The sequence below is a fragment of the Homo sapiens genome, chromosome 14 (genome assembly GCF_000001405.40).
Source record: "Homo sapiens chromosome 14, GRCh38.p14 Primary Assembly".
Lineage (NCBI taxonomy): Eukaryota > Metazoa > Chordata > Mammalia > Primates > Hominidae > Homo > Homo sapiens.
In genome coordinates, this window is record NC_000014.9 from 66,736,343 (window position 1) to 66,756,695 (window position 20,353).

General features: G+C 33.9%; 1 protein-coding gene and 1 long non-coding RNA gene across 21 annotated transcripts in view; both read left to right on the forward strand.

The window, feature by feature from the left end:
- LOC124903332 (uncharacterized) overlaps nucleotides 1-18,692 on the forward strand; it is a 32,329-nt gene extending 13,637 nt beyond the window's left edge. The window contains exon 2 of the long non-coding RNA XR_007064219.1: nucleotides 1-18,692. This exon is cut by the window's left edge and continues 13,017 nt beyond it. This is a non-coding gene — a long non-coding RNA (uncharacterized LOC124903332).
- GPHN (gephyrin) overlaps nucleotides 1-20,353 on the forward strand; it is a 1,227,209-nt gene that overhangs the window by 228,196 nt on the left and 978,660 nt on the right. The gene's annotated exons all lie outside the window — the stretch shown is intronic.

Below are 20,353 nucleotides of genomic sequence, written 5' to 3' on the forward strand. Positions count from 1 at the left end.
CTACCGAGTTAGATTTTCATTGAATTTTTTATTTTAACTGTTTTCTTTCTTTTTTTTTTCTTTTTTTTTTTTTGAGATGGAGTTTTGCTCTTGTTGCCCGGGCTGGAGTGCAGTGGTGCAATCTCGGCTCACTGCAGCTTCCGCCTCCTGGGTTCAAGTGATTCTCCTGCCTCAGCCTCCTGAGTAGCTGGGATTACAGGTGAGCACCACCACACCCAGCTAATTTTTTGTATTTTTAGTACAGACGGGGTTTCATCATGTTGTACAGGCTGATGATAACCTGAACTCCTGACCTCAGGTTATCCACCCGCCTCGGCCTCCTAAAGTGCAGGGATTACATACGTGAGCCACTGTGCCTGGCCTATTTTGACTGTTTTCTTGCCTGTGTGCCTTGTAATTATAAAGAAATTTCTGGAACCCATACAAAGATATTTTCTATTTGCACTTCATTTTCTGTTAGCCTCTTCTGAAACTTCTGCAGTGTTTTGAATTATCTCAACCATTCTCCACATCTCTTAACCTCTGTTTCTTATTTTCTTTCTTTTTATCTCTCTTTGCTGAATTCTATATCACTTCTTGAGACCTGTCTTCCAGTTTATGAATTTTCCTTTCATCTGTATCTGATCTCCTACAGTCTTCTGAGTTTGTTTCTCCAGTCCTAAAATTATTATATGTTTCATTCATGGGAACCCTGGTTGGTTATTTTCAAATCTGCCTAGTAAGTTTTCTTACATTTTGTACTTTTCTAGGCATATTAAACATATTAATGTTTTCTAATAATTCTAATATTTACAGTATTTTTAGGTCTGGTTCTGTAGTTCGTCGTTTCTACATATACTTTTTGTGGTAGTATCCCCTTTCCCTTCCCCTTCCTCTTCCTGTTCTCCCTTCCTCTTTCTTTTTCCCCTTCCCTTTCCCCTCTTTCGGGCTTTTGAGTGAATGGAGTTCATTCCTTCATGGAGAAATTTGATTCTCCCATGCACATGGGATACTGTCAATGTGAAACCACTTTCAATTTTGGGGTGGTGTGGATTCAGGCCATAACCCTGCACAAATGTGGATTTGTGGTTATTAATTCTCAGGGAAGCCCCTTTTTCTTTTTTTTTCTTTTCATATTCTACCCAATCCAAGGTAGACAGGCATGTATCTCTTTCAACTCCCTTTTTGGAGTTTTGGTTGTTTTTCTTAGTTTATCCTTTTGGGTGTTACTGACTGCATCTGAATTTTATGTGATATGACTTCACATCCATATTGAACTCTGAAAGCCTGGCTTTTAAGCACTGGGCTCTTTAATACCAAGGCTGTAGGCCACACATCAGCAGATACCACCAGAGTCCAGCAAATACTGGCCCCAGAACTCTTTCCTTTTCTGGATTTATGATTCTTTTTTGCTTACAGCCTTTATGAATTCTTTTAGTTTCCAACCAGCCAACCGTGTGCTTAAATAAGTCTTTAAAAATGTGTATTATATTCACACTTTTTAGATGTGGTATGCTAGAAGTGACCTTAACTGAATATGTTGGTCTGCTATAGTACAAAAAAAAGCAATTCATTAAATATTTTGAATGACAGCACAGGATTCTGTGCTGACTCAAGTTAGAGCAAGTTACACACTTTAGAACTCTTCTCTGAATTTGCTGTCACTTTACCCAAAAGTAGAATTAGAACTCTTTGGCTGCCCTCACCATAGCCAAGTGACTCCTAATCCTCCAGGGAACATGTAAAATGGTAAAATTTGCCTGAAAAATACAGCTGACTTTCATAAGACTACAGCAAATTTTGAAAGGTACATTGGAGCAGTAGTAGTGATAGGAAACCAATTGTTAGGCTTTCTATATTCATTCTTGAACGGTTACCCCAAAAGAGTATCCTAAAATTCAAGTTAAAAATTAAAACACTGTTAATTTAAAACTGTCTTTTCTGTTTCAGTTTAAAATGTTAAATCAAAACAGACTTTCTTCTTACCCTAAAATAGTTACATAAGAACAGTCTGTTGTCACAGAAGTCATTCTATTATAAAGTTACTTTATTATAAAGGGTATAGTCTCTATTTAAAATGTTAAGCTACAAATATTTATCCTTTTGAGCCATCTGTACTGCTAAATACCCATAAGTATTTTAGACTAAGATCTGAAAAATGGAAATACTTTAAAACCTTTGCATTGTTGATTCTTGATTTTTTTTATGGCGTGTGTCTTGCTTTGAGCAGAAATAGATTGATGCAGACAGCTTACTTGTAAAACATTATGTTACTGTCATTTAAAAAAATAGTTTTAAACCCTCTGATGGAAAGGGGCATCTTTAGATGAAGTAATTTCATTAAAATATCCAATTCAGAATCTAAGTAAATAAACTTAAATATATAAAAATTCTTCACTTAATGTATTTATTCCCATAATAAATATGTTAATTTCATAAATTTAGAGCTCTGTTAGGTGAATTTATTTTATTATTTTAAATCATTACCTTAGCTAACCCAGAAAGTTTCTATTGAGAATGTTTGTTCCCCACTTTCTCCTCATGAAATCATTTTAATACTGTATAATACCAGGAAATTGATTAATGTCATTAATCAACTATTATTATGGATATATATTTTATTGGATGCTTATTTCATATTTCCTTTTTGGGTGGCGTTCTATTGAAACATGTGAGAAAATATTAGTAACTTGTCTACTCTGCTTACCCCCATCTTATATAAACCCCATTTCCAGAGGACTGGAAACTGGAAAGAAGAATACCTCAGGGCTGAACATGACAGGGGCTTAAGAAAAGTATCTGAGAAATTATAACCAAAAACTGAGCCTAGAATGAATTTGCAATTCAAATTCATATTGTCTGCACTGTATAAAAAAATTTACATTTTTTCTTACAGCTTTTTTTTTTTTTTTTGAGACAGAGTCTCGCTCTGTCACCCAGGCTGGAGTGCAGTGGCACAATCTCGGCGTACTGCAAGCTCTGCCTCCCAGGTTCATGCCATTCTCCTGCCTCAGCCTCCCGAGTAGCTAGGACAACAGGCACCCGCCACCACGCCCGGCTAATTTTTTGTATTTTTAGTAAAGATGGGGTTTCACTGTGTTAGCCAGAATGGTCTCGATCTCCTGACCTCGTGATCTGCCCGCCTCAGCCTCCCAAAGTGCTGGGATTACAGGCGTGAGCCACCACCCCCGGCCCCTGCTTTTTTTTTTTTTTTTTTAAACAAAACCATCAATGGAAGGAAAAACACTTTAAGTGTATGAATTTAGTTTAAAGTAGTCTATGATGGATAGTGCGTTCGGACAACTGACCAAAACAAATGCAGATTCTCTGGTGAATTCACTTTGTCCTAAAATTCAAAGAAATACCATACATTATTTACCACTGAACACGAAAAGCTACAAGGAAATGAAGTACTATGAATAAGAATCATCAGAAACACTAAGCAGCTGAATCAACCCTACATAGACATTAAATATTGGAATGATTGGATATAGAGTAAAAAACAACTATGCTTACTTAATATGTTAAACAAAATAAAACTAAAAAGCAAAAGCCTAAAAAAAATCAATAGGGAACAGCAAACTGTAAAAATGTCCTAGCAAATTTGGAAAATAATCAATTAGAAATTCTAGAATTGGAAACAAATAATCTAAATTTAAAATCACATGGAGTATAACAGCAGAACAGATACAATTGAAGAGAGAAATAGCAAAGTGAATAATAGGCTAAAAGAAATTATTGAGAATTTATCACAAAGAGCAAAAATTCAAAAACAAGAAAGAGGTTCAAAACTACACTGTTTCATGCACACTGGTGTATTTATGATATATCTCACAAAAATGTCTAAAATATAATCAAATATATGGTCAAATATGCTCATTCATCTTTAGAGCTTTCTATAAGAAGAAAACAAAAGGAAAAACATTATGTGCAACAGTAGGGGAAGGATCAGAGAGTTAATAGTTCATCCATTACAAATTATGTTACTATAAATACTTAACGTCATGAGGGAAATATTTACCTTAAGAGTATTACATTTATACATTGATCTCAAATTCAAAGAATAGTAAGATATGTTATTTATTTAACGATACATATAAAAAGAAAGAATATCTTATTTAATAGTAGAGCTTACTTCTGAATACTAGGGATACAGGTACTTTAAAATTTTCTTTGTAGGCTCTTTGTATTTCCCAGTTGTTTTAAACTGAACATTTAGTACTTAAAAAAAAAAAAAGCCAGAAAGCTGCTAATAAGTATTAAAAAGTGGTACTTAGTGATGTATTCTAGAACTTTTCTGTGCTATATCTGTGCTTTTCCTGTGGTAAGTGCTTATCATATTTTTAAAATGACTGATATTTGGCTCTTATAGATTCTTAATGTATATTTAAATGAAGTGGATGAATAATAAAAGTTAGTGGAAAATTTATAAAGAGTAAGGCCTTGAATATTTGCAACACACTGAACTGTTGATTACTGGGGATTTAAGCTGAGAGTCTTCATTTAGGTGCAATTTAGTAAGTGTCTTAGTTCCTTTTGTGCTGTTATAACAGAATACCAGAGATTAGGTAATTTATAAAGAAAAAATTTATTTCTTACAGTTCTGGAAAGCCGGGAAGTCCAGTATCAAGGTGCTAGCATCTGGTGAGGGCCTTCTTGTGGCATCTCATGGCAGAAGGAAGAAGGGCAAGAGAGCATGTGTGTGAGAGAGGAAGAAATTAAACTTGCAGCTTCAAGCCCTTTTATAATTGACATTAATCCATTCATGAGGGTGGAGTCCTCATGTCCTAAACACATCCCATCAGGTCCCAGCTCCCAACATTAGGGATTCAGTTTCCAACACATGCTTTTTGGGGAACACATTCAAACTATAGCAGTAAGCAACTTTGAAGACGTTCTTGATTTGCTTATTCAATATGTGTAAGATCTAGCAATATTTATGAGATAAATATAATATGCAAATAATTTTGTTTTAATTTATTCATATGATAAATATTTATTGAATGTCTTTTGTGTGCTACACGTTGCACTAGATTTTGGAGATGACTTGTGAAACCATATACAGTCTTTGATGAGATTTAGAGCATAGTAGAGGATATATATGTATGTATGTTACATGCATATATGATTTATTCAGGAGTATAAGGCAATTCAATATTAGGAAGTCCATTAATATAAAAGGTTGGGGGAAATGTGGAGAGTAATACCAGAGACAAACAACTATAAAAGACATGTAAGTTGTTGTCTTTGGGCAGAATCACTATGAAATGATGGTTGGATAGGTGGCAGCTGTTGTTACATCATATATATTTTATCACTGTCTTATGTTTTCAAGTTTGTACATATGTTACTTTACTAAAAATAAAAGTTAATTTTCTAGCTGACATCAAATTATTTCTTCCTCTCAAGTCCTTTGTAGCTACTGTCACCAGCAGAATATCCCATAGCCTCCTTCTAATATCTCCTCACCCTGGCAGCCTCTGATACAGGGATAAAGTCCTTTGAGTTGGCTTTGGCTCAGTTACCTTCAGTATTGTCCAATTGATTCATGATAAAAACCCGTTGTCTTTATCATGCTAAATGACCAAAGTGTAAACTTCCACCTTACTGTCCTTTCTCCTTGCCTTGCTATCTTCATTGGTTCCAGTGAGTCTTTCTTTTTTAGTCCTCTTGAGCAAAAACAAGCTTTTCCACAATTCCAAGGGATACATGTCAAACGCTCAGAATGCTTTATTGAACGCTCTTCCTTGACACCATCTCCCTAAAAATGTCAAAACACTCTAACAACACTTTTCCAAAAGGAACTCTTTTGCCTTGTTAGATTTCAACATTCTTATATCCCCCAGGGTGGTGTCACAAGTGTCAAAAACAGTTTTGAGTCTCATTGTTTACAGTTCCTTCATAGACAATATAATAAATACCTCACTTTGGCCTTAACATTCTGATACATGTTAATTGTTACACTATTTTATCCATTATAAAGCATACCACAAAATTAGAAACTAAAGAGAATTAGATTTTTTATGTATATATATATGATATCTTCTTTTAATGGATAATTATGCACATTCCTAGTATGTGTGCAGTTTGATTTGGAGACCATTATATTGAAGATTCCGTCCTGTTTGGGCAGGATTGCATATGCCCCTGAGCCTATATAGCTCTTGTTATAGAAATTTATTGTGTTGATTTTTTTCACTGTTCAATATCCCACCCCCATAGTAGAATTGATTTTTAGAAGAAACGGTGACAGTTTTTAGCAGCCATGATGGTGGCCTAGGGTTGAAGAAATATGTGATGTATTGTTAGAGTCCAAGCCATGCTGTTCTATTAAAATACTATTTTTCTTCCTGCTCTTTTTGAAGTTGATTTTATTTCTGCTTATTTTCTAAGCCTGAATTTCTGGCCTTCATTTGTTTTTGTTCTTCTTGTTTTTGTTTTTGTTTTGTTTTGTTTTTGAGACGGAGTCTCGCTCTGTCACCCAGGCTGGAGTGCAGTGGCGCGATCTCTGCTTACTGCAAGCCCGGCCTTCTGGGTTCACGCCATTCTCCTGCCTCAGCCTCCCGAGTAGTTGGGACCACAGGCGCACACCGCCATGCTTGGCTAATTTTTTTTTGTATTTTTAGTAGAGACGGGGTTTCACCATGTTAGCCAGGATGCATTTCTTTTTTTTTAATACTTAAGTTTCTTTTTCTTGTTTAAGAAAGTTGGAGTTAGGACTGTTGTTCATTCACAACAAATTGACACCACTGCCTTAATATCATAAAGACTCTGTATTGTTTCAGTTGTTTGCTCATTGGGAAAATACTCCAGGGTGAGGCCTCCCTTACATCTGAGGGACCTGATTCCCTGTGTAGAGAGTTCTTTTTTTTTTTAATTGTTCCAGTTTATACTTCTGGTAGACTTTTAATCTTCCCCCCCACTTTAAAGTCCCAGTATGCCCCACTATAAATTGAAACATTGTGTTCTAGTCTTTATCTACAAACTTAGAGAAAATTAATTACTTTTCAAGGTAACATATTCAATTTTATTTTCTTTTTTCTTAGATCACTCCAGTATATCCAGCAAACTCCCTTAAACTAAGCCCAAACTGGTGTTGTTGCCTGTTGCAATTTCCTTCACTAGAGCATCCAGAAAAGCTTACTTGCCTTTGCATATAAAATCTCTTACTTTGGGAGGCCGAGGCGGGCGGATCACGAGGTGAGGAGATCGAGACCATCCTGGCTAACACGGTGAAGCCCCTTCTCTAGTAAAAAAAAATACAAAAAAAATTAGCCAGGCGTGGTGGCTGGTGCCTGCAGTCCCAGCTACTTGGGAGGCTGAGGCGGGAGAATGGCGTGGAAACGGGAGGCGGTGCTTGCAGTGAGCGGAGATCGCGCCACTGCACTCCAGCCTGGACGACAGAGCGAGACTCCATCTCAAAAAACAACAACAACAACAAAAAAACTCTTTAATTGCTTTAAAACAGCTAACCAAGTCTTATTTCCTTTATCTTCTTGTATTTTTCTTATATTACCTTGGCAAAATGAAAAATTTGGGGATTTAGTGTTTGCCAAGTCACCATATGGATAAATCACCACTAGTGAAGAATAAACTATATCCATATTATGTTACTTTAAATGAAACGATTACATTTCATCATTACCCTCAGAATTAAACCTGTTATTTACACTACTACTTCTCATCCTTTCTTCTAATAGGCTCCAAGCTTTCTCCTTTTTCATCTTTCATCTATCCCAATAAAAACATAACTTCCAATTTTAATTAGAATAGCTATATATAATAGGTTGACCAACTGTGTATCTTCTGTAGCCTTCTGCCTATAACCTGATTATAAAATTGCTTTAACTAAAGTAAGTTACTGCCTATTCTGAGTTACTCTATTACACAAAATTTAATTTTATTACGCTACTTTCTTTTCCATATTATTTTCCTCCTAGCCTCTTCCAATTCTTTGTCTTCTTGATCTCCCTTATTAATCCTTTTCTCAGGGAAGGAAGATCTGATCAGCCAATTCACTCCAAGATTTAAGTGACTAGTGGTTGGAAATCTGTTCCTCTTCAGCATTACCTGTAATTTAAACAAGGAATTAAGTTGTATTGGCTTTGGTGAGGCACAACGTGTGTTTGTATATGAGAATGAGTTCTTTATAGCACCCATTCAGTCACACAAGGCTACCTACTTGTAAGTCTAATGTTTAGAGTAAACAGTGAATTATCTAATACATTTTGCATTTCTTACACCTTGAAAGAATGTTGATAAATTTCCTTATACAAGTAGTCTGATCTGATGTTAGACAAATAGTGAATACTCAGTTTTATTGATTAATTGAGTGCATTTTCAGAATACTGAAAGATTAGGAATTGTGGTTGACTGAGCATTTTGTTAAGATGTTATTAGAGACAAATACAAAAAAATTCTGGCTCTCTGGATTGGACTCTGTGTAGATTGATTCCATCTGTAAAAGGTGCCTCATCTTTGACAGTAGATATTTTAGTCACTGTTACTTGTTAGAGATTCAATATAGCAATGCAATTTTTTTTTATTTACTTATAAGGATTTATGATACCAAGTTGTATTTGACATTTGGATTAAATCCTGAGGGGTAAGGAAGATTCGTCCCTGTGGTAGAAGTTTCTAAAGTCTTAAGTCAAATGAATTCTACTTACACTTTAGTTAGAAGGCCATTTAAGACAAACGTGCCTTAAAAGATCAAGTTTTTCAGTGTTAAAATTCTACATCTCAATATAGGTTATGAATACTACATTAAGTTCATTTGGTTATGAATTCATTATTTTCACCTTTTGCTGCTATTGTTATACTTCAACTCTCTTATTTTTACAACTTTTTATTTTGAAAACTTTCAAACTTTAAAAAAATGTTGGGACAACAGTATAATGAACAGCTGCACTCTGCACACCTAGATTCTCATGATTGAGAATACATGCTGTATCTATTTATATCTCTGTCTTGCCTTCTCTCTATATATAACTTAAAAACTGTTTCAGACATAGTGACACTTTACCCCTGAATACTTCAGCATGTTTCCCTAAAATTAAGGACATTGTTCACCGTACTCTTATCATATGCTGGAAATGTTAACATTGAGACAATAATATCATAAAATATAACATACAAACCTATTTTTAGATTTCTCCAATTATCTCAAAATATTATTTATAGATTTTTTGATTCAGTATTCTGTGAGGGATTATAAATGATAATTTGATAGTGATATGTCTTCACCATTTTGTTATATATTGTCAGAAATTTGATGTAGAATAATTCATATGTTAGCAACTGTGGAAAGTGTTGCCAATTATGAAAAAAATGTAAATTTAGATAATTTAGAAATAGTCCACTAAGACTTTTATTATATAGTTGATTATATTAATTAAAGTAACTTGAATTCCTTGACAGTTTACTTATGTATAATGAGTGTTCATGATGCCCTAATTGAATTTTTATTTTTTTAAAATTTAATTTTTAAAAATAATAATAATACAGTAAAAAACCCTTTGTGATCTTTCTTAATAGTCACATCATCACTCTACCCTGCCTATCACAGATCTGTTTTACATCACTATAGTTTGTGTTTTTAAGAATGTCAAATAAATAGAATCAGAAAGTATGACCAGCTTCTCTCAGAGTAGAGTCTCTGAGATATATCCAAGTTGTGTATGTCAATAATTTATTCATTTTTATGGTAGATAGTATTCCATTGTACATATATACCATAGTTTGTTTATCTACTAACCCATTGAAAGACATTTGGGTTGCTTCCAGCTTTTGGCTGTCACAAATAAATCTACTGTTAATATTTGTATATAAGTTTTGGTATGAACATAAGTTTTCATTTCTCTATAAATACCCAGATGTACAATTGCTGGCTCATATGATAAATGTATACTTAACATTATAAAAACCCGCCAAACTGTTTTCCAACATCTGCATCATTTCAGTATTAGGCTCAATCAATTGTCTTATCCCATGTGAATTTGTATCCTGTATTACTTTATAAGACTCTGAGTCTTATTTAGATCCTGTGGAAAATATTGATATTTTTGTTTTGGCCTTCTGTGGATTGTGTGGTTCTAACCTTGGCTCTATTTTACAAGACTTTGGTGTGCAATTTGGATCTGTCATGAATGTGTACCCTCTAGTGGTCACTCTGGGACCAGCTTGTAGATCTGTTCTTAGCTAAGGCCTTTAAATATTTGATATGCTAATTAGTATCAAATCCATAAATGGGCAGATCCAGGGTGAGTAAAAGTTCAAAACAACTTTATGTAGTTGCTTTCCTGGTCTCCCTTCCCTAAGTACTTTCTACTTCCCTTGGGGCTGTTTTTTTTGTTATTGTTGTTCTTCAAAAAAGAAATTGTTTCTTTCTGCAGTTTTACGACATCCTCACACCATTTAGCACTGGTGATAAGATGCCACCAAGGCTACATGGTGGGAAGACAGGGACATAGGGAAAAAATTCTACAGGGTTTGGTGCTGCCCTTTTGGCATTGCTGCTTCTCTGAAAGGTAGGTCGACCTCCCTCAGAGTTTTGACTCCTGCAGTCTCTCATTTCTGTCTTCTTTTATTTTAGCTGCCATGGGACTGTTCAGGGTTTGGGGCATAGAAAAATGAGGAAGAGGAGAGGGGGAAACAAAATAACCTGGAGATTTCTCCTACTCTTTCTCTGTCTGCACTGTAAGTGTTCAGAAAATTTCTCCTGGACCTCACTCACACCACATAGTGCTCAGTTCTGGGTTTCTGGCTTCAGAGGTAGTGGAGGAAAATAAATGTTAAACTCAACATTGGTATTCTTCCCTCATCTGTCTACTAGTGTTAACTTTTCAGAGTTTTCAGATAAGTCTCTAGCCAGGTTTTTTAGTTGAATTAGCATGAGATAAAGAGAGTCTGGTCTTATTTCATCTTACTGGAATCAGGACCCCTAATTGATTTTTAAATGGTATTGTTGATACAATTGTCAGGCCATTTATTTCAGTATTTCACTAAGTAACTTCTAAACTGTGAAAAAAGTAATTATAAAATAAACATCAGGTATTTTTGTTCTTATTTGTATCTTTGACATGAGATAAAGTTTGTGGAAGATTTAACAAGAACATCATAAGAAGTTGACTATAAATTAGATGTTAATTCATTAATTTATTCACTCCACAGAAATTAAACGAGTACTGACTCTTGGCCTGGGATTGCAGATATTATAATGAACAAGATAGGCAGAGCTCCTTCTCAGGACGGGTTAATAGATTTGAGACAGTCATTTATAGTACATTGTAAAAAAAAAAAACAAAACTGCCCCAGAGTTAATGTTAAAAATTGTTTTATTATTTTTTCTTTAAGATAAAACTTTTAAGGGGTCAGGACTCTGGTAATGTTGAATGTACATTAATGCATTTATGTATGGACATAGCTGAGGATTTTGTTAAAATGTGCCTTAAATGATTACATAAATTAAATAAGCAATTTGTTCAGCAGGTTAAAAGGAAGATATTTCATATTTTTGTAAATGAACACATGAAATTTTTTCCTTTAAGATTTTAAATGCCAAATTATTTACTTAGGTAGTGAACTATAGTGTTAACATTAAATAAAAAGAGATCTACATATCTACTCCTATTTCTGTATTAATAAACTGTGATGATGTATCAATAAGTAGGATCATGTGCCATTAGGACTTGAAATAATGGAATATGGTACGTCCTAAAGCTTATTTTGTCATTCATCTAGCCAATAATATTAATTACTTAATATCACTGCTCAAGCTATCATCTTTGAGAAATACTGATTTAACAATAGTTTACACTAAATATGTAAAAAATAATTTTAAAGTCAAGCAAACCATAGGTTAATTACCCCATTACTTGAGAATGCAAAAAAAATACTTTTACTATAGTACTTATTAATAAACTCATTTTTAAATTTAAATTGCAAAAGTTATCACAGGCTTTCTATGGTATATGGAATTATAATAACATACTTTTAATTGATGTTTGTTGGAATTCACAGCATTTATAGACTTTTTAAATAGACTTTATTTTTTGGCAGTTTTAGGTTCATAGCAAAATTGAGCAGACAGCTCAGAGATTTTCCCATATACCCCCTGCACCCTTACATGCATAGCCTCCCCCATTATCAACATTCTTTACCAGAGTGGTATATTTGTTGCCATTGAAGCTACATTGACGTATCATTATTACCCGATCCATACTTTATAGTAGGATTCACTGTTGGTGTTGTATATTCCATGGGTGTGGACAAATGTATTATGGCACCATTATACAGGTTGAATATCCCTTATCCAAAATGTTTGAGACCAAATTGTTTCTGATTTTGGATTTTGGAATATGTGTATATATGTAGTGAGAGATATTAGAGATGGGACCCAAATCTAAACATTAAATTTATTTATGTTTCATCTACACATGGCCTCAAGGTAATTTTATCCAATATTTTAAATAATTTTAGGCATGAAGCAAAGTTTGCCTAAAACGAACTATAAGAAAGCAAAGATGTCAAGTGTGGAATTTTCCACTTGTAGTGTCATGTTGGTGCTTAAAGTTTTTCAGGTTTTGGAGCATTTCAGATTTCAGATTTTCAGCTTCAGAATACTCAAACTGTAGTATAATCTAGAGTAGTTCCACTGCCCTAAAAATCCTCTGTATTCTACCTATTCATCCCTTTCTCCTCACAAGCCACCAGCAACCATGGATATTTTTAATGTCTCTATAGTTTTGCTTTTTCCAAAATGTCATATAGTTGGATTCTTATAGTGTGTGTCCTTTTCAGATAGGCTTCTTTTAGTTAGTAATATGTGTTTAAGTTTCCTCCATGTCTTTTCATGGTTTGATAGCTTATTTCTTTTTACCATTGAGCAAAAAGAAATGAGTTGTTTATCATCCACTCACCTACTGAAGGACATCTTCGTTGTTTACAAGTTTTGGCCATTATGAATAAAGTCTGTATAAATATCCACATACAGGCTTTTGTGTGGACATAGTTTTCAATTCCTTTGAGTAAATACCATGGATTATGATTGCTGCATCATGTGGTACAGTGTGTTTAGTTTTGTAAGAAACCACCAGACTGTCTTCCAAAGTAGCTATACCATTTTGCATTCTCACCAGCAATAAATGAGACTTCTTGTTGTTTCACATTCTTGCCAGCCTTTGGTATTATCAGTGTTCTGAATATTGAACATTCTAATAGGCTTATAGTCATATCTCCTTGTTTTATTAATTTGCATTTTACTGATGATATATGATGTGGAGTATCTTTTCACATTATTATTTGTCATCTGTGTATCTTCTTTGGTGATGTGTTTGTTAAGGTCCTTGGCTCATTTTTCAATAGAGTTGTTCATTTTCTTATTGTTGAGTTTTAAAATCTCTTTGTATATTTTGTATAACAATTCATTATCAGATTTGCCATTTGAAAATATTTTCTTCCAGTCTGTGGCTTGTCTTTTCGTTCCCTTCACAGTGCCTTTTACAAAGCAGGGTTTTTTTTTTAATTTTTAATTTTTGTGAGCATATAGTAGGTCTGTGTATTTGTAGGATTCATGAGATATTTAGATATAGGCATACAATGCGTAATTGTCACATCAGGGTAAATGGAGTATCCATCACCTCATGCATTTATCCTTTCTTTGTGTTACAAACAATCCATTTATACTCTTTTAGTTATTTTTATATGTACAATAAATTACTGTTGACTATAGTCACCCAGTTTTGCTGTCAACAGAGTTGTTAATTTTAATGAAATCTAACCTACTGTTTCTTTCTTCCAAGGATGTTGCCTTTGCTGTCATATCTAAAAAGTTATTACCAACCCAAGGTCATCTAAATATTCTTCTATTCTAGGAGTTTTATATTTTTATGTTTTACATTTAGGTCTGATTCATTTTGAATTAATTTTTGTGAAGGCTGTCAGGTCTGTGTTTAGATTCATTTTTTTTGCACATCATGTCTTTTAAGATTCTGAGTTCTTTCGGAAGACATTCCTTGGCTGGGATTCCAATTTTGGCTCTGCAAGGACATATCACTACTCTCATACTAAAAATCAGACTTATAATTGTAGTCTCTGTTTTCCAAGTCAGGAAATAAGGAAAGGACCAGGACACCAGTAGTAGCCATGGTCTTAAGGCTCCAAAAAGATGTAGAGAGGAAAATACATAAATACATTAACTTAGTGGAGGTGAGGGAGGAGGATGACCTTGGTGCCCCCTCACTTTTTTAAGCACAGGTAAAGTTGATTCATAATAATGTCAACATGTACTTCTTTAATTTTTTGGTAGCAGGAAAAAGGTAAATTAAAGCTTACCAATGTTTTGTAAAATTCTAAGTATCACTGGCCCTCTTGTATTTTATCAATGCTGAAAATGTGATGCTTGAATCCAAAAACAAATGAAATCAAGGTTTGATTAAACCGGTTCTAAGACTTCATTACTTTGCTACTTCTGACTTACTGCCACATATTACTATTACTCCTAATTGTACTAGGTTGCTTTGGTTTGGATTCCAGCAAACGAGGTAAGTTGGCACAAGTGACCTAAAAATAAAGTTTTTGTACTGCTGGGATATCATTTGGCTGGTTTTCTAATTTTGTTGGGCTTGGATCAGAATTAATTATGTGTTATTTTCATATCAATGTCAAGTCTGTATTTATAGCATTCTTTTTTTTTAGAAGTCACAGAATTTTTAAAAGTAGCAGAAAAACAATAAATGATATTGAAAAAATTTTAGTACTTACATTTTCGTCATGATCTTCTAAAGCCTCCTAAAAGAAACATTGCTCTTGTGAATGGTGCTGCAGTGAACCTACACATTCACGTGTCTTTATAATAGAATGATTTATATTACTTTGGATATATACCCAATAATGGGATTGCTGGGTTGAATGGTATTTCTGTCTCCACGTCTTTGTGGAATCACCACACTGTCTTTCAGAATGGTTGAACCAATTATATTCCCACTAACAGTCTATAAGCATTCTGTTTTCTCTGCAACCTCACCAGCATCTGTTATTTTTGGACTTTTTAATAGCCATTCTGATGGCTATGAGATGATATTTCATTGTGGTTTTTATTTGCATTTCTCCAATGATCAGTGATGTTGAGCTTTTGTTTATATGCTTGTTGGCTGCATGTATGTCTTCTTTTGAGAAGTGTCTGTTCATGTCGTTTGCCCACTTATTAATGGGGTTGTTTGGATTTTTCTTTTAAATTTGTTTAAGTTCCTTATAGATGCTGGATACTAGACTTTTGTCAGATGCATAGTTTGCAAAAATTTTCTCCCGTTCTGTAGGTTGTCTGTTTATTCTGTTGATAGTTTCTTTTGCTGTGCAGAAACTCTCCATTTGTAGAGCCCTGCAGGATAGATTTAGCATAATTCTTGAAGACCCTAGTATTTTCAGAATGGTCAATGAGCATTGGCTTCAACTTAAAGTCACTAGCTGCACTAGTCCCTACCAAGAGAGTCAACCTGTCCTGTGAAGCTTTGAAGCCAGGCATTGACTTTTCCTCTCTCTATGTGAAAGTCCTAGATGGTATCTTCTTCCAGTATTTAAGGTTGTCTTATCTACATTGAAATTCTGTTATATAGAATAGCCACCTTCATCAATGATCTTAGCTAGATCTTCTGGATAACTTACTGCAGCTTCTACACTAGCACTTGCTGCTTTACCTCGTATGTTTTTGTTACAGATATAGCTTCTTAAACCTCATGAAGCAACTTCTGCTAGCTTCCAACTTTTCTTCTGCAGTTTCCTCACCTCTCTCAGCCTTCATAGAATCGAAGAGAATTAGGGCCTTGTTCTGAATTAGGCTTTGGCTTAAGGAAATGTTGTGGCTTCTATCAAGACCACTCAGACTTTCTCCATATTAGCAATAAGGCTTTCTCTCTCTTGTCATTTGTGTATTCACTGGAGTAGCACTTTTAATTTTTTTCAAAAACTTTCCCTTTGTATGCACTACTTGGCTTTTTGCCATAAGAGAAGGTTATCTCAGCTTTTGACATGCTTTCTTCTCTAGCTTATTCATTTCTAGCTTTTGATTTAAAGTGAGAGATATGTGACTCTTCCTTTCACTTGAATAGAAACCACTGTAGGGTTATTAATTGGCCTAACGATGTTGTTTCTCAAGGAATAAGGAGACCCAAGAAGAGGGAGAGAGACAGGAAAATGGCCAGCTGGTCGAGCAGTCAGAACACACACATTTACTGATTAAGTCCCCTGTCTTATATGGGCTCAATTGATGTTGACTCCAAACAATTACAAGAGTAATATCAAAGGTTAATTATTACAGTTTACAATAGCAGACATGATATTAATGAAAAAGTTTTAAATACTACGAGAATTACTAAAACGTGACACAGACGTGAAGTGAGCACATGCACTTGGAAAAATGGCCCCAGCAGACTTCCTTGACATGGGTTGCCAGAAACCTTCAGGTTGTGAAAAGCACAATAAAGCGAAGCACAATAAAAAAATGTGTTTCTTAAACAACAAGACTATAATGGACAAGAAAGAGCTGAGACTAGAGACAGGAGACCAACATGTTAATCTTAAGTCAGGAATCCTAAAGTGAAGCAATAGGAGTGGTTAAAAAAAAAAAAAAAAGAGAAGAGAGATTGATTTAATAAATAATTGTAATATAGAATTAGTAGCATTGAATCCTGATACACCCACAGAAAATATATACAAACGTGTTTAAATAATGAAAATTTATGGTAGATTCTGTTATTGGCCCTGATTTTCAACCATGTCCGTCAAAGCCCTTTGCCATATAATTTTTTAGGAACCCACTGTTGGGGGTGGAGTGGACTTCCTTGCCTTATGAATTTGTATTTGACCACTTAACTTGTTGTTACCAATGGATAGAGCCCCTGGGTATATACTTACTCTCTTGTACATCCACCATGCAATAAGAATATGTGTGACAGTATTTTGGTGTCAGGAGAAGGATGAGAGATACATGGGGGAGAGCTACTCCCAGGCCTGGACCAGATAATTCTTCAGTTAGCCATGTACTCATGAATGAACCCAGCTGAGCCCAGCCTGGAGCAGCCATTTTTTAAGCAGTGCACAGATTTAGGATAAATAATAAGTTATGATTGTTTTAAGCCCCTGAGTTTTAGGGTGGCAGTCATAGCTAACTGATATAAAGTTTCTATTCTGCCAAAAAAAAAAAATTTTAAAGAAAGTTATATTCTATTCTATTTTCACACATCAATTGATGTGAAAACAAAATATAATCTACTGATCCAACAGGAAAACTGCTTGCATTATTGGTTTTATTTATTAGACTGCCTTAATGCAGCAATCACGCAGCTAGAAAGGGAAAAATAAAACGAATATAATTTATAAAAATAGCTTTATTGAGATATACCTTATATATCATAAAATTTACTTATTTTAAGTGCACAATTCAGTGATTTTTAGTATACTTATTTTTGCCACTGTCACCACAATGTAATTTCAAACATTTCCATCATCCCAAAAGAAATCTCTGTGCCCATTACCAGTCACTTTTTTTCTCTCCCACCTCCAGCTTAAGACTATGTAACCACAAATCTACTTCCTATCACTATAGATTTGCCTATTCTAGACTTTTCATAGCAATAGAATTATACAACATATAGGGATTTTTGTGTTTAGCTTTTTTCACTGAGCATTTTTTAAGGTGCTTCTATATTGAAGCATGTTTTAGTAGTTCTTTTTTATTTCTGGATAGTAATCCATTATCTGAGTTTATCACATTTTGTTTATTTATTCATCAGTTAATGGATATTTGAGTTTTCCACTTTTTGTCTATTATCAATAATGGTATGAACATTCATTTACAAGTGTTTGTACAAACATTATGTTTTTATTTCTCTTAGATAAGTACTTAGTTGTAGTAGAATTTCTGGGTCATATGGTGACTCTGTCTTCAGCATTCTGAGAAACTTAAAGTTTTCCAAAGTGACTGTGCCATTTTACACTCCCACCAGAAATTTATGAGGGAAAACTGATAGTAATTTAATTATACTGAATATTCAATTTATACTACTAGTGACTTTCATATCATAATACAGAATGATAACTATATATAAAAGATAATAATCAGATAATCTGAAAATAATAAAACTGTGAAATGTACTTCTCTCTATAGTGAGTCATATGTGTAAGTTATGCAGCAGGTGAAGAAATGTGTAAGATAGGCCTTTTAAAACACAATCTTAAATCTTATTAAGGTTTTCTAGAGTAATATAAATAATGCGATAATAGAAATAAGATCTACTTATTTTCTACTATTCTGTAAAATTATTAAATAATTAAATTTTCTTTCTATAGTAATCTTGTTACACCAAGCTCACTTTGTACTATTGTGCCTATACAGAAATTACACTAATTTTTCCTCCATTAAAACATTAAAATAGCCTTTTGACTTTTATAGACTTCAGAGAAGTTGTCATTATATCTCAAGTGCTATGAATGTGAACTGTGGGAATGTGAACTTTACTAAGAATCAATTATATAGCCTAAGTTGGTGTTTTATATTTGTTTTTCCTGCACTGTTATGGAAACCTGTAAAATATGTTAACATTGAACTATTTGGTCTTATTTAGACAGTATTTTATCTTACAATGCTGTATGATGAAATCCTGCACTCAAATAAAACATTAATCAGCAGAACTTAAATAAAAATATATGACTGTTAATTTTGTAGTCTTCCTACTTGCTTAGAAATTAAATTTCTAATAAATCTTTGTCTCTGATTTTGTGCAAAACAATGCTATTGGCTGGTGACTTCACTGTCTAAGAATATGGATTTATAAAGGTATAGAGAGTATCGGTTATATAGAGGTATCAGGTAAAGTTCATGCAAGCCAAATATTTTTAAGCATTCAATGGTGTTTTCTTGTAGGAATTAAATGTATTTATTAGCTTGACTTTACTGACTATGTTTGCTTAATATTAATCTATTAGAGCATAACTGCATAACATGGGTTTTAAATGAAGCTTGCTGTTACTCTAAATTTATGTCACAAATGTGGCTCTGGGAAATTTTTCAAGTTTGTCTCAGTGCTTTAAGCCTTATAAAAATGAGCAAGTAACTCATAAATAATAGACAGTTCCTCAGAAGTCATTTAAAGTGCACTCCTTTTATTGGCAAAATTTCCATATGTTCTTTGGCTCTTTGAGATGTAGACTCTGTAGAGCTATTTAACTACCATTATTTTCTGGTGATTTTTTTCAGGTACCTTTCTTTATGATTTATGGTTCTGTAAAATCTTACCTCAGTGTGTAGCTAGAATTATTTAGTCACATATTTTTAAATAATTTTAAAATTTCGTAAAAATTCCTGTGACCCATGAACATCATCAACCAATGTTATGAGATAAAATACTTCCCTCCCCAAATTAGAATGCTTTTCTTTCATATATTTCAAGCGTGAGTCAGAATTGGAAAGGTACTAATTTAAATGCATTGTGCTTTCTCTAAAGTGGACAAAAGGAAAATAATAGTTAATAAGAGAGCTTTCTAGCATGGTACCAAATAAATATTTGGGCTGGTGAATGAGCAAGAGAAGTACAACAATCCACTTGTCCTGACTTTCAAGAGTTTTCTCCTTGCCAACTTATCACATTTGTAATTAATTAATATTTGTGCATTTATCTGCTTAATGTCTTCCTCTCTTTATTATAAGTTGTATAAACACAAAGATTGTCTATCTTATTCTCTCCTTTACCTCTAACCCCAGGATATTGTGGGGCACATGGTAGAAGTTGCTCAAAAAAGTTTTTGTTGAATATATTCATGAATTTGAATGTTTTGCCCTACAAATTAACTTTAAAAGTACTTATGGAGTACATGCCGATTTAATATACCTATAATAAATATGAATATTCATTGCATGTGTACATGTCAATATTTAACAGCTATCATTTATTTAATGCTTTTTTTCAACTTTACAAAGTGCCCTAACATATTTTTTTAAATGTTTGTTGCTCACAGTAATCCTGTGAGGCATATGATGATATTGCTGTCATTCCTCCATATCCACAGGTTTCTTATCTAAACCTGTGGTTGTGTAGGCAGGGGCACAACTGTGCTTTGCATCCACAGATGTGGAGGGCCAACAGAACTCGAGCATCCTCTGCATTTTGTATCCACGGTGGTCCTGGAACCAATCCTCCATGGATATGGAGAGTCAACTGCATTTCCATTTTATAGGCAAGCAATATGGAGTTTAGATTAAAAAAAATTGTTTGCTCCAAGAACACATAAGTTTTTAAGTGATCAATCCTGGACTTGAATCATTTGTTTTTACTGTCTTTTGGATGGCAACATTAACTTTGTACCATATACCTAGTTCTTC